This window comes from Homo sapiens, chromosome 8, assembly GCF_000001405.40.
Source record: "Homo sapiens chromosome 8, GRCh38.p14 Primary Assembly".
In the NCBI taxonomy this organism is placed as follows: domain Eukaryota; kingdom Metazoa; phylum Chordata; class Mammalia; order Primates; family Hominidae; genus Homo; species Homo sapiens.
The window spans coordinates 140,973,503-140,988,180 of NC_000008.11; the positions used below are offsets into that span (position 1 = coordinate 140,973,503).

Below are 14,678 nucleotides of genomic sequence, written 5' to 3' on the forward strand. Positions count from 1 at the left end.
AAAAAAAAAAGCAGCAGAAAAGTTTGCTTTCCAATAAAATGGTCAAAAAGGCAAACTCATAGGATAGATGTAAATCAAAGACATCAGCTCTTTGCCAACCACATAATCAACCATGTACTGTTTAAAATTAACCCACATGTTGACAACATGCACTTAAACTAAGTTATTTCTGCTATCTGATTTCTCAAGGCAATTCCTTAGGATCCAATACTATTTTTTCCAAACAGAAAACAAAACTTGCCACCTAAACTTTGCCATGACCTAGGCAAAGTAGATTCAAAGCTTTTTTCCTACCTTGGAATTACAATTAGCCCCAGCGTGAAATTCTGAGAGTGATATCTTAACCAGTCTAGGTTTTCACTTTTGACTTCTATGCCACTGCTAGATTCCATCATTTCTTATATCTTTGCCCCATCACACTTTGCCTTTAATAGAAGTCACAATTTTTCTCAACAGGAAAGAAGAAACTTTCTTACAGATTGCCCCATTTTCACTCTCTTAAGTTCTCTCTGCTCCATATGGAGCAGCTTACCAAGTTCATCAAATCTCTGCAGGGACTGCTATTATCTGTAGTCTGTAATCCCTAAATTACATGTAATAATGCTGACATCAAGTATGAACCAATCCAGTGCAGACTCCAGAACACAATACGAATCTGCCTGATGCTCATATCTCAACAACTGCTCGGCGGCCACCCTGCTTCTCCTGCTTTGCTCAACTAAGGGCTCATCATGACAGCACGATTTAGGGATTGTCTTACAACTCACTATTTACACATTTCTAATCCAACTGAGGAAACTACACTCATTTATGGTACTGGTGTATCCTACCTAAAAGTGACACCATCTCTCATAGCCACATGAATACTAAGATACGTTAATACTCTACAAACTTTAGCTTTCTCTAATGTTCATAGCATGTTGAAGCATTCCATGCCCGTCAGTCTCCAGCTCGCTTTTTATGTACCAAAAATGTGTCTTATTCTGTCTTTCGGAAAGGAGGAGAAACTAGGGAAAAACATTCCAATTGCTGGTTGATACAGTTCAACTTAGAAAACAGTTGCATGTGTTTGCATTTTACTTGGCAGTTTGAGATGCATTACATTTAAAGTAAAAATCCTGTGATTGGGATGATGTTTCCCTTGCCAACACAAACCTTTAGAGTACACCAGATGTGTACAATCTAACAAAAAGTGATTCCTCCTTTTGGTTGGACTCCTTTCTGATAATGTGATGAAAGCTCTAGAATTCTCTCCCCAGGGAAAAACAGCTCACATACACACACAATTCTGCTTAGAATTTCAGGGGTTCATGGACCTAAGAGACAATGTTCCCTCATCAAAGCAATCACTAAGATATTCCAGGAAAAAAAAAATTAAGAGCAAAAAGATCTTCATGAACTCATCACCAAAGAAAAAATCTGGAAGCCATCCTGGAATTACGCTGGATTCCTTCTCTCTCAGCCTTGCCATTTCACTTACTTAGTCACGCCTGTAGATGAACTCAGAAACAGGCTTCACATCAATCCCTACTCTCCATTTCCTCAGTTGTGCCCTTAAGTCCTTCATTTATATGTACAACATAATTAAAAGAACATACAGTCTATTATTAAATAGACTGTATGTTACTAAATTCGACCTCTGAACTTTATCCCTCTCACTTTACTAAATAACAGCAGGTGAGCCATTTCCTTAATGACAAAGGTTGGGTGACTTTTCCCCTTCTAATGTGGATTACTACCTTCCTTACTGATCTTGTGCCTCTAGTCCAGTCATCCTCCTACCATCTAAATCTGTTCTTGCTGCCCTAGGATGTAAAAAATTTATATCAGAATCAAGTGCAAACTGCTTTGATCCTGCCCAGTATCGACTGCATATCCTTCTCTACCCGACCCAACCTATTTCTCCACATGTGATAAAAATATTCAGTTCCACAAAACCCCAGCCTCTCACACCTCCATGCCTTTGCACATGAGTGGAATCCACTTCCCATCTTCCGCTGAAAAATACTTTACAAAGAGGTCACCACATCTAGTCCACAGCCAGTTTTTACATGGTTCCTGGACTAAGAATGATTTTTACATTATTAAAGCGTTGAGGAGAGGGGGGAGGGGGAAGAAAGGAAGAAAAAATTAGAGGAAATGCGATAGGCTGTATGTGTATATGCGACCCCCGAAGGCTGAAGTTTCTACTCTCCGGCCTTTAAGAGGGGAAGTCTGCCGACCCCTGAGGTTGGGCATCACAAGGGACTTGCCCTCCAGATTGCCTGAGCACGCTAAGAGACAACTGCACACATCATGCTGCATGCCAGGGAACTATAACAGTCTCACTCCCCCTCAAGTCTATACCTTCAGGGCTTAATACCGTACCAGGCACAAAACAGTATTTTTTAAATGGCGAACAAATGAATTAACTGAATGAACCAGCTCAAGAACTGGTGAAATCACATTAAATGGAAAGGACCTGTGCCTTTAGTAGTAAAACACTACTTACGTCTGTTAAAGATACTATTAACAACATTAGCACCTTACATTTGTATACCACTCTACACAGTAACTGCACATATAACCTCAAAGGCTAAGACCATAAAAACTACACTTTATAAATAAGGACTTGAGAAGCACAGAAACTAACTTGCCAAAAGTCACATGACTAAAGGCAGAGCCAATATTTGAAGTTGGGTCTTGTTTCTTAGATAAAATGCATTTTCTCTTAAACAGACTACACAACTACAATATCTAGACACTTACACAATACCTCTCTACAAAAATCACAATACCTAGACACTTCAATTACTAATGCCTGAGATTCAGGAGACAGATAAAATTTAATTTCTGAGCCACTATTTAACTGATAATTTTCAAGTTAATGCTACTTTCTGGGGAGAAAAAAATGAAATGGACACCCAAAATAAACACTAGGCTAAAAGGTCCCAGAATAACCACAAGCTAAAAATTTTCTCTTTTCCTTAAGAATCAGTCCTTGGGAAAGCAACACAAAATTAAACAGCTTAATTAACAAATGCCACTGAAAGGAAAGCAGCTGCAGTCACAGCATGAACTCCTTGCCTGTCAGCTAAGCTAAAACAAACTGGCAGTTGAGGCAGTCACTTGTCTTTAAGCTTCAGTTTGGGTAGAACAGAATCCAAAAGCTGATAATGTACATTAACACCTCAACTTCAGCCAGAAAACAACACAAGTGTTTCCAGAGGCAGAAAATAGAAACTCTATTAACTTTTTAAAAAGCCTAATAATGTTAGTCTAATCTTTTTTTCATAACTAAGGTATAACTTAGGCATAGCTGGAGTTTAAGTGGCTAGGTACCTAAAAGTTTCTGAGTTGAGACCAAGATTTTAGCCAAATTCTACTACAATATAGGTCTATTTAAGACAACATTAATTTCAAAGAATTGGTAACATACAGAACACATTTTCTGACTACAATCCAATTCTAGAAATGTCACAAGATACAATGAAAAAAAGCTCATTTGTTTGTAATTTATCAAACACTTTAAAATAAATCATGAATCATCAAAGGAATCAGTAGAATTTACAAAATATGTCTAAATATTAAACTTCTTTATTAAATAGAACAATAAATGCTTTATGGGCCAGGTGTGGTGGCTCCTGCCTGTAAATCCAGCACTTTGGGAGGCCAAGGCGGGAAGACTGCTTAAGCCCAGGAGCTAGAGACCAAGTTTGGCAACATAGTGGGACCCTATCTCTAAAGAAAATTTAAAAATTAGCCAGGTGTGGTAATGTGTACACCTGCTAGTCCCAGAAACTCAGAAGGCTGAAGCAGGAGGATCGCTTGAACCTGGGAGGTCAAGACTGCAGTGTGCAGCATGGGCGCGGTAGCTCACGTCTGTAATCCCAGCACTTTGGGAGGCCAAAGTGGGCAGATCACGAGGTCAGGAGATCGAGACCATCCTGGCCAACACGGTGAAACCCCATCTCTACTAAAAATACAAAAAATAGCTGGGCATGGTGGTGCACACCTGTAGTCCCAGCTACTCAGGAGGCTGAGGCAGGAGAACTGCTTGCACCCAGGAGGCGGAGGTTGCAGTGAGACGAGACAGCACCACTCCCCTCCAGCCTGGGCGACAGAGCAAGACTGTCCAAAAAAAAAAAAATACTGCAGTGAGCTGTGATCGTCCAACTGGACTCCAGCCTAAGTGACAGAATGAGACTTTGCCTCAAAATAATAATAATAAATGCTTTATGAACTAAATAAAAATACTTCACATCAAAACTTAGCCCTTGGATAAAGAGAGATTCCTTAAAAAAATCAAAACAATAAAAAGTACTCATCATAAAGGAAAAAAGAAATAAAGCTTATGACATTAAAATTAAGAACTTTAGTTCCCTACAGTAACCAAAACAGCATGGTACTGGTACCAAATCAGAGATATAGATCAATGGAACAGAACAGAGCCCTCAGAAATAATGCCGCATGCATATCTACAACTATCTGATCTTTGACAAATCTGACAAAAACAAGAAATGGGGAAAGGATTCCCTATTTAATAAATGGTGCTGGGAAAACTGGCTAGCCATATGTAGAAAGCTGAATCTGGATCCCTTCCTTACACCTTATACAAAAATTAACTCAACATGGATTAAAGACTTAAATGTTAGACCTAAAACCATAAAAACCCTAGAAGAAAACCTAGGCAATACCATTCAGGACATAGGCATGGGCAAGGACTTCATGTCTAAAACACCAAAAGCAATGGCAACAAAAGCCAAAACAGACAAATGGGATCTAATTAAATTAAAGAGCTTCTGCACAGCAAAAGAAACTATCATCAGAGTGAACAGGCAACCTACAGAATGGGAGAAAATTTTTGCAATCTACTCATCTGACAAAGGGCTAATATCCAGAATCTACAATGAACTCAAACAAATTTACAAGAAAAAAATCAAATGACCCCATCAACAAGTGGGCAAAGGATATGAACAGACACTTCTCAAAAGAAGACATTTATGCAGCCAAGAGACACATGAAAAAATGCTCATCATCACTGGCCATCAGAGAAATGCAAATCAAAACCACAATGAGATACCATCTCACACCAGTTAGAATGGCAATCATTAAAAAGTCAGGAAACAACAGGTGCTGGAGAGGATGTGGAGAAATAGGAACACTTTTACACTGTTGGTGGGACTGTAAACTAGTTCAACCATTGTGGAAGTCAGTGTGGTGATTCCTCAGGGATCTAGAACCAGAAATACCATTTGACCCAGCCATCCCATTACTGGGTATATACCCAAAGGACTATAAATCATGCTGCTATAAAGACACATGCACACATGTTTATTGCGGCACTATTCACAACAGCAGAGACTTGGAACCAACCCAAATGTCCATCAGTGATAGACTGGATTAAGATAATGTGGCACACATACACCATGGAATACTATGCAGCCATAAAAAAGGATGAGTTCATGTCCTTTGTAGGGACATGGATGAAGCTGGAAACCATCATTCTCAGCAAACTATCGCAAGGACAAAAAAACCAAACACCCCATGTTCTCACTCATATGTGGGAATTGAACAATGAGAACACATGGACACAGGAAGGGGAACATCACACACCGGGGCCTGTTGTGGGGTGGGGGGAGGGGGGAGGGATAGCATTAGGAGATATACTTAATGTTAAATGACAAGTTAATGGGTGCAGCACACCAACATGGCACATGTATACATATGTAACAAACCTGCACGTTGTGCACATGTACCCTAAACCTTAAAGTATTAAAAAAAAGAAAAAAAAAAAGAACTTTAGCTCCAAGACACCTCACAGGTAAAAAAAACAAACCACAAACTGGAAGAAAATATTCACAACACATAATGATAAAGGATTGCAATCCACACATAGAAAGAACAGCTACAAGTCAATTAAAAAAAAAAAAAGGCCAGAAACTTAATAGGTCCTTCACAGAAGACAAAACAGATAGCAAATATATTAAAAGTGGCTCAACATCATTACTAATAAGGGAAGTTCAAATTAAAGCCACAATAAGATATGACACAACCTCCAAAATGACAAAACTGAAAAAGTCAGACAAAATAAACTACAGACAAGGATGTGGAACAACAGGAGTGATACAGTTTGGCTGTGTCCCCACCCAAATCTCATCTTGAATTGTAGCTCCCACAATTCCTATGTGTTGTGGCAGGGACCGGTGGGAGGTAACTGAATCATAAGGCGGGCTCTTTCCCGTGATGTTCTCGTGATACTAAGTTTCATGAGATCTGATGGTTTTATAAGGGGGAGTTCCCTTATACAAGCTCTCTTGACTGCTGCCATCCATGTACAATGTGACTTTGCTCCTCCTTGCCTCCTACCATGATTGTGGGGCCTCCCCAGCCATGTGGAATGTAAGTCAATTAAATCTCTTTCCTTTCTAAATTACCCAGTCTCGGATATGTCTTTATCAGTAGCGTGAAAACAAACTAATACAAGGAGTCATTATATTAGTGGTGATATAAATTGGTATAACTACTTTGGGAAGCAATTTGGCAGTAACTAGTCAGGTTGAAGACTGGCCAGCCCTATAACTCAGCAATCACACTCCTAGATACATAGGCTATGCACATCCATGTCTATGAGCAATAAGAGTGTTCACATTTGTGTGGCAGTGTTTGCAGTACAGCAAGAGACTGCAAGCAAACCAACTGCCCATCAATTGTAGGCTAGATTACACAACAGTGAAAATGAATGAAAACTATCATACAGCACCTAAGTTTTAAAATCAGAGTGCAGGATGGGAGGAAAAAAGAAAATCAAGTCATATAAAGACATATAGCATGATACCCTTAGTATAAAGTTCGGCCGGGCACGGTGGCTCACGCCTGTAATCCCAGCACTTTGGGAGGCCGAAGCAGGCGGATTGGATCACGAGGTCAGGAGATCGAGACCATCCTGGCTAACATGGTGAAACCCCGTCTCTACTAAAAATAGAAAAAATTAGCCGGGCATGGTGGTGGGCGCCTGTAGTCCCAGCTACTCAGGAGGCTGAGGCAAGAGAATGGTGTGAACCCGGGAGGCGGAGGTTGCAGTGAGCTGAGGTCACGCCACTGCACTTCAGCCTGGGCGACAGAGCGAGACTTCATCTCAAAAATATAAAAAATAAAATAAAGTTCAAAACAGACAAAACACGAAGAAATGGCAAAAACAGGTACTTGTCCTTCAAGTCGCCTGCCTGGGACTCTTCCAAGTCTACTTTTCCTCTTTCCGGCTCTAAAGCTTTTTTTTTTTTTTTTGAGACAGAGTCTCACACTGTCGCCTGGGTTGGTGTGCAGTGGCGCAATCTTGGCTCACTGCAACCTCCACCTCCCAGGTTCAAACGATTCTCCTGCCTCAGCCTCCTGAGTAGCCAGGATTACAGGTGCCCGCCACCATGGCCAGCTAATTTTTTTTTTTTTTTTGTATCTTTAGTACAGCTGGGGTTTCATTATGTTAGCCAGGCTGGTCTCGAACTCTTCACCTCGTGATCCGCCCACCTCGGCCTCCCAAAGTGCTGGGATTACAGGCATGAGCCACCGCACCCAGCCTCTAAAGCTTTTTAATAAACTTCCACTCCTGCTCTGGAAAAAAAAAAAAAGAAAAGAAAAAGAAATGGAAAAAAACAATATCATTCAATGACCACTGTTTTAAATGTCAGGGATTCAACAGGGAACAGAGAAACATTTTGCCCTCAGACTTTATGTCACCACCAAGAGAGAAAGAAACTAAAAAGTAAGTAAAATACAAACAGTAACAGATGGTGAAAAGGGCTTGAAAAGAAATGAAACACTGAGCGGGGCCAAGGAAGGATGTCTTCAGGAGAGGTGACTTAAGGCTTCACTTACAGAGTGGCACCGGTGTGAGGGGTGGGAGTGGGATGGGACAGAACCTGTGGGGCAGGAGGGAAGGGTATGTGATCAGGGAACACACACTGGCCTTTCAAGGGCATGGGAAAATCCCACTGTTGAAGCTGGGCAGGAGGTACCTAGGAGTTTGCTTTGTTATCACCCTCTACACGAGAACAGCAAACTATGACCCACAGGCCAATGTGGCCCCACTTGTTTTTGTACAACCTGTGAGCTAAAAATGGTTTTACATCGTATATGGTTAAAGAAACTAAAACAATGTTTCACGGCATGTGAAAATTATAGAAAATTCAGATTTCAGTGTCTAAAGTTTTACTAGACACAGCCAGCTCATTCCTTTACATACAGCCCATGGATGCTGTAGCACTGTACAGCAGAGCTGAGTACTTGTGAGAGGTCACAGGTGGCCTGCAAAGCCTAGAATGTTTACTGTCTAGCCCTTCACGAAGAAAGTCTGCTAGCCCCTGACCTAGGGCATAACTAGGGACTTAACCAAGGCTGACTTGGGTGTCCTTCCTCCAGGTTCTCAGAGCTCAGAGCATTCTTGAAGAAGGTAGAGATTATCTCTACCTTATATTTTACACATATTCTTTTGTATTTCTTCAGTTTAATCATTTTTTGAAAAAGATTAGCATATTTCTTTCATAAATATTGCTCTATTAAAGCTCCACGCTTCACCAACTCAATAAAAAAAAAAAAAAAAAAATGACTCAGTTAAAAACAGACATGTACTGCTATCAGGAACATTAAACCAATACAGCAAAGCATAGCAAGCTACAGTTTATTTTGATTCAAGTACAGTTTTAAGAAAAGAACCTTCCAACTAAAGGCTCCAAGTCTGTGGAGAGTCCCCACCGCCTTGCTTAGCTCACTGGATCATTAAGATACACATTGGATCATTAAGATAGATACACACTGCATCATTAAGATAGATACGGGGGCTGGGTGCGGAGGCTCCCGCCTGTAATCCCAACACTTTGGGAGGCTGAGGCGGGCAGATCACAAGGTCAGGAGTTCGAGACCAGCCTGACCAACATGGTGAAACCCCATCTCTACTAAAAATACAGAAATTAGCCAGACATGGTGGCGGGTGCCTGTAATCCCAGCTACTCAGGAGACTGAGGCAGGAGAATCGCTTGAACCCGGGAGGCGGAGGTTGCAGTGAGCCGAGATAGCACCACTGTACTCCAGCCTGGGCAACTGAGCAAGACTCAATCTCCAAAAAAAAAGAAAGAAAGAAAGACACAGGACAGTCAGCTGCATCACCCACTCACAGAAGAACCTTAGAAAAGCAGCAGAGCTATATTCAATTCCTTCCCTATCTTTTTTAAAGAAATGCATCATGAATTATGTCACATTTTAGCAGGAGTTGTCCAATGTTAGCGTACGTTTTCAGAAGCAAGTTACTTCACAACTTTTAAGTATGAACCAGTACCTTTAAAGAGTTAACAATACTTATTAAATAATAACCATGGCTGAAAGTGGTAATGAATAAACAGGGAATTCATTACAACATTGTTTCTGTATATGTTTGAAAACTTCTACAAGGTTTTCACATTGAAGCTTTGTATTTTTAGTTATTAAATACGCATTTAACAGAAAAGTCACAGAATTCTCACTTGAAAGAATTCTATCTTTCAAAATCCTTAGTACAAAATATAGTTTTCCATCATCCTTACTAGTGGCAACTAAAAAAAGAAACAAACAGATGCTTATTTTAAAATCTAGGCCGGGTGTGGTGGCTCACACCTGCAATCCCAGCACTTTGGGAGGCCAAGGCAGGCGGATCTTCTGAGGTCAGGAGTTTGAGACCAGCCTGGCCAACAGAGCAAAACCCTGTCTCTACTAAAAATGCAAAAATTAGCCACACATGGTGACAGGTGCCTGTAATCCCAGCTACTCGGAAGGCTGAGGCAGGAGAATTGCTTGAACCCAGGAGGTGAAGGTTGCAGTGAGCCAAGATCATGCACTTCAGCCTGGGCAACAGAGTAAGACTCCATCTCAAAAAAAAAAAAAAAAAAAAAATCTTTGTTAAGGCTTTCATCAATGATCTGAGAAACTGAAACGATATTCACCTAAAGGAATACTATGTAGTTGTATTATCTTAAAGTTTTCCAAGTCCTTGTTGAAGCCCCAATACAAACACCTACTTCTTTAATGTGTAAGAAAAGCATTATAACTGGTAAACTTGTCCATGTGCCTGCCAGTCTTTATGAAGACGGATGGTGTATTCCTCCAGTACAAGAAGGCTGGTTCATCACTGTCCTAGAGAGAGGGAAGTGAAGGAAGGAAGGAAGGAAGAAGGAAGGAAGGAAAGGAGGAAGGAGGGAAGGAGGGAGGGAGAGAAGAAGGGAGGGAGGGAGGGAGGTGCAATTTTACAAACTGAGCAAAGATGCAGGGAAGACTCAGCACTTTGAAAACTGGCAAACTTTTAATGTAAACATTTACTTTTAATAACTGTTACCTTTCATAAAGCGTTTAATAAGACCAAGCACTGCCGGGCACGGTGGCTCAGGCCTGTAATCCCAACACTTTGGGAGGCCAAGGTGGGTGGATCACCTGAAGTCAGGAGTTCAAGACCAGCCTGGCCAAGACGGTAAAACCCCGTCTCTACTAAAAATACAAATATCAGCCGGGTGTGGTGGCATGTGCCTGTAATCCCAGCTATTCGGGAGGCTGAGGCAGGGCAATTGCTTGAACCTGGGAGGCAGAGGTTGCAGTCAGCCGAGATCATGCCACTCCACTCCAGCCTGGCAGCCTGGGTGACACAGCAAGACTCTGTCTCAAAAAAAAACAAAAAAAAAAGACTAAGCATTACATAATCATGTAGTACAATCACATGCCACACAAGGAAATAGAGATTAGAAAACTTAACAAACAAGCCCAAGATCATAGAGCCAGGATTCTGACCCCAACTCCATGCCCTTAACTACCGCAATCAACAGTGGTTATTCAACTTTCAAACTAAGACTCAGTGCCACCTTGCAACCCACACTTTGAAAACCAATGCCTAGCTACTCCAAGTATGGTCCACAGACCACCAGCCCTGGCATCACCTGGGAACTTAGGAAAAATGCAAGTCTGAGCCCTTCCCAGACAGACTGAATTGGAACTTAAAATATAACGAGATCCCTGGGTGGCATGTATGCACTTAAACGCTGAGAAGCCTTCATATAGTGCCTGCACACACTCTATTTTGAGGTAGTTTCTCCAATTCAAATACATATCCTAGAACGGTTAAAGGGAGCTTTCATCTCTTCTGCTTGCTGTGATCCCAAACCAAAGGTAAACATGTGCTGGCAAGCTACCCCAGGTGGCGATGAAAAGTGGCCCTAACCTTTCCTCCACACCCATCCTCAGTCCCACTCCTTCATCTTTACCGCCCCTCTTGTACAGAGCCTAAACCACAGCTCAACTTACTGACTTATCTGAACCCTTCCTCCTCCTAGAGTAATAGACAATAAGGGAATGACTCCACTCAACATCCCCCGAGTTCCTTGAAATGTGCCCAGGAACTACCAAGCATGAATCTAGTGCACGGTTAAATTGGCAGAAAGGGACAGCTGGGACTACTTCAGGCATGTCCTCTGACCCTAACAACTGTGGACACATAATCAAAAGATTGGTACTCTGTGAGCTAGAATGAGAGATCCCAACACAACTGTAATAACATTATATTACCAGTTAATAGGAAATACTGTGCAAATGGACAGAATATCCTGACATAGCTTTTCATCTTCTTTTTTTATTTTTTTATTTTTGTGAGATGCGGGTTTCAGTCTGTCACTCAGGCTAGAGTGCAGTGGCATGATCATAACTCACTGCAGCCTCAACCTTCCGGGCTCAAGCAATACTCCCACCTCAGCCTCCTGAGTACCTGGGACTACAGGTATGCACCACCATGCCCAACTAATTTTGTTAAATTTTTGTAGGGACAAGGTCTCACTATGATCCCCAGGCTGGTCTCAAACTCCTAGACTCAAGTGATCCTCCCGCCCAGGCCTCCCAAAGTGCTCGAATTACAGGCATTGAGTCACTGTGCCTGGCCTCATGACATTTTTAAAAATCTATGGTTTCAGCTACCTCTCTTGATACTAGAAATCAAATTTAAGATGCTTCAAACCAATCTCCACACGGTTCTCATCAACATCCAGGCTTTTGCCCATGTTTTTCTTCTCCCTAGAACCTTTTCCCCCATCCTTCCCCTCTCCACTTGGCTAATTCCTCTCCCCACCTGGCTAATTCCCATTGTTCCCTCAAGAGTGGGTGCTGTGACACCCCCGCCAGAACCCCACAGTGCCCTGCAACTTTGCACAGCACTATGACTGCCTAAGGGCAGGGATGGCAGGGCAAGTGCAATGGGAGACACTGGGTCTAAGACACAGATCAACATATAATAAATGCTTTCACAAAATTTCTCAGTTAAAACTGACATATTTGTAAGTTAAAATATCAATACTTAATAGTTATCTACTCAGTGTGCCACAGATTCACATTTCACCACCTAAATCAGTCTAAGAATCTACACTGTACCTTAGGGATAGATTTCACAGTAAGTCTATTAAAGGAACTCAATCATCTGTCTAGCTATATAGATTCCAAAAAATTCAAACTTTAAACAGCAAGGATACCCATATTAGTGGTTTTCAAATGCAGATCCACGTACCAGTGCAAGTCCCTGATGAGGTTTTGATAGTCAAGCCATATCTATCCACTAGAACTTTCTGCAATGATGAAAATGTTCTATACCAGCGCTGCCCAATGTAGTAGCCACTAGCCACATGTGGCTAATGAGCACTTGAAATGGGACTAGTGTAACTGAGGAATGGGCCTTTCAACTTCGCTTAACTGTAATTAATTTCAATTTAATTGGCCACATGTGGCTAGCAGTTACCATATCAAACATCAGGTTCAGGTCTAGACTCTGGAGTGAAATAAAAAAGAACGCGTTTTGGCTTCTTAATTTCAAGCAATGTTATTTGGTCCAACCCTCCTTCTGAAAAAGACTAAAAGAAAATATGGACAGAATATTTTTATAATCTTAAAAGCAACCACAACCTGACAAGACAAGAAATAAATAACAGGCAAAAATTGAAGTGAAACCAGGAAGTCAAAGAGATAAGCACAGAAACTACCTCTGCCCTCAGTGCACTTGCCAATTCTGAAAAGTCTCAACTTTCATTTTTAAGACAGTGCAGAGAGGGGGAGACAGGAATAAAAGACTGGGTCCTCCAAAACATATAACCCAAAACCCCACTACAGTAAGCAAGAACCCAAAAGGCTACACACCTCCAGAGAGTAAACCAGTAATGAACCAACTATCCAGCAGAACTAGAGCTATGAGGGGTCCAAACAATCTCAAGCCTTGAATTCGGTTTAAGGAGATCCCACACTGGCTGACGCAAAAGTAAGTGTTCTCTGGAGGAAGCGACCCTCATTCCAGGCCTCAAAAGAATCCTACAAATCATTTGGATCCAAATCTTATACCATAAATGAAAATTAAATCATAAACCTAAAAGTAAAATCTAAAACTTCTAGGAGAAAAAAATCAGAAAAACCTTTGTGGCCTAGGATTTGGCAACTCTTAAATATGACACATACACAAAAACACAACCCGTAAAGCAACAAACTCATAAATGGGACATCATCAAAACGTATAATTTATGCTCTTCAAGCCACTGTTAAGAAAATGAAAAAGCCAGCCATAACCTGGGAGAAAAATATAGTATGTATCTGATAAACAATTTATATCCAGAACATATAGAGAACTCTCAAAACCCAAAAAAATGGAGGAAAAAAACACCTTTTTTTAAAATTTTCTAAGACAGAGTCTCATTCTGTCTCCCAGGCTGGAGTGCAGTGACACAATCTCGGCTGACTGCAACCTCTGCCGCCCAGGTTCAAGCAATTCTCCCGTCTCAGCCTCCTGAGTAGCTGGAATTACAAGCGTCCGCCACCATGCCCAGCTAATTTTTGTATTTTTAGTAGAGATGGGTTTTCGTCATGTTGGCCAGGCTGGTCTCCAACTCTTGACCTTAAGTGATCCACCTGCCTCGGCCTCCCAAAGTGCTGGGATTATAGGCATCAGCCACGGTGCCCAGCTAACAACTTTAAAATGCATAAAAGATTTAAACACAGAGATATGCGGATGGCAAATAACCATATAAGAAGATGCTCAACACTATCAGTCATTTGGGAAACGCAAATTAAAACCACAATGAAATTCCATTACACACTGAATTAAAATGGCTAAAATGTACAAGACTGACAATAACGAGTGTTGCCCTAATGATGCAGAGCAACCAGAACTCTCATCCACTGCTGGTGGGAATGCAAAATGGTACAAATCTAGAAGATAGTTTGGCACTTTAAGAATTTCAACAGGCCAGGTGACGTGGCTCACTCCTATGACCCCAGCACTTTGGAATGCCAAGACTGGAGGATTGCTTGAGCACAGGAGTTTGACACCAGCCTGCGAAACATGACTAGACCTCGTCTCTACAAAAATGTTTTTTTAATTAGCCATGTGTGATGGTGAGTGCCTGTAGTTCCAGCTACTCCAGCGACTGAGGTCAGAGGATCACTTGAGCCTGGGAGGTTGAGGCTGCAGTGAGCAGTGATCACACCACTGCACTCCAGCCTGGACAACAGAGTGAGACCCTGTCTCAAAAAAAAAAAAAAAAAAAGTTAAACATACACCTACCATATGATTCAGCCATTCCAGTCCTAGTCCAACCATTCCCAAGAGATATGAAAGTCTACACCCATACAAAGCCTTGTACAAAAATATTCAGAGATCTATA

The 14,678-nt window shown here is 41.4% G+C and overlaps 1 protein-coding gene across 176 annotated transcripts in view, besides 2 other annotated features; it reads right to left on the minus strand.

The window, feature by feature from the left end:
* Window positions 1-14,678, minus strand: part of PTK2 (protein tyrosine kinase 2) — a 344,180-nt gene that overhangs the window by 315,603 nt on the left and 13,899 nt on the right. For 11 of the 176 annotated variants that reach the window (NM_001352705.2, NM_001352698.2, XM_047422044.1 and 8 more), the window contains one exon: window positions 10,340-10,653. The exons of 154 other annotated variants lie outside the window; for them this stretch is intronic. In NM_001352705.2, the coding sequence (NP_001339634.1) occupies window positions 10,340-10,346 (7 nt within the window). In that variant the 5' untranslated portion in view covers window positions 10,347-10,653. Of the gene's footprint in view, window positions 1-10,025; window positions 10,141-10,287; window positions 10,654-14,678 lie in introns of those variants that run through there. 11 more of the 176 variants (NR_148037.2, NM_001352739.2, NM_001352707.2 and 8 more) reach the window with 4 other exon arrangements.
* Window positions 2,798-3,322: an enhancer, noted in NCBI's record as "NANOG hESC enhancer chr8:141986399-141986923 (GRCh37/hg19 assembly coordinates)". NCBI's record gives its function as "activates a minimal SCP1, AML or CMV promoter by ChIP-STARR-seq in primed H9 embryonic stem cells {active_cell/tissue: H9 hESC(primed)}" and the evidence as "EXISTENCE:reporter gene assay evidence [ECO:0000049][PMID:30033119]".
* Window positions 12,966-13,085: a silencer, noted in NCBI's record as "silent region_19584". NCBI's record gives its function as "represses an Ori minimal core promoter by ATAC-STARR-seq in GM12878 lymphoblastoid cells {active_cell/tissue: GM12878}" and the evidence as "EXISTENCE:reporter gene assay evidence [ECO:0000049][PMID:35858748]".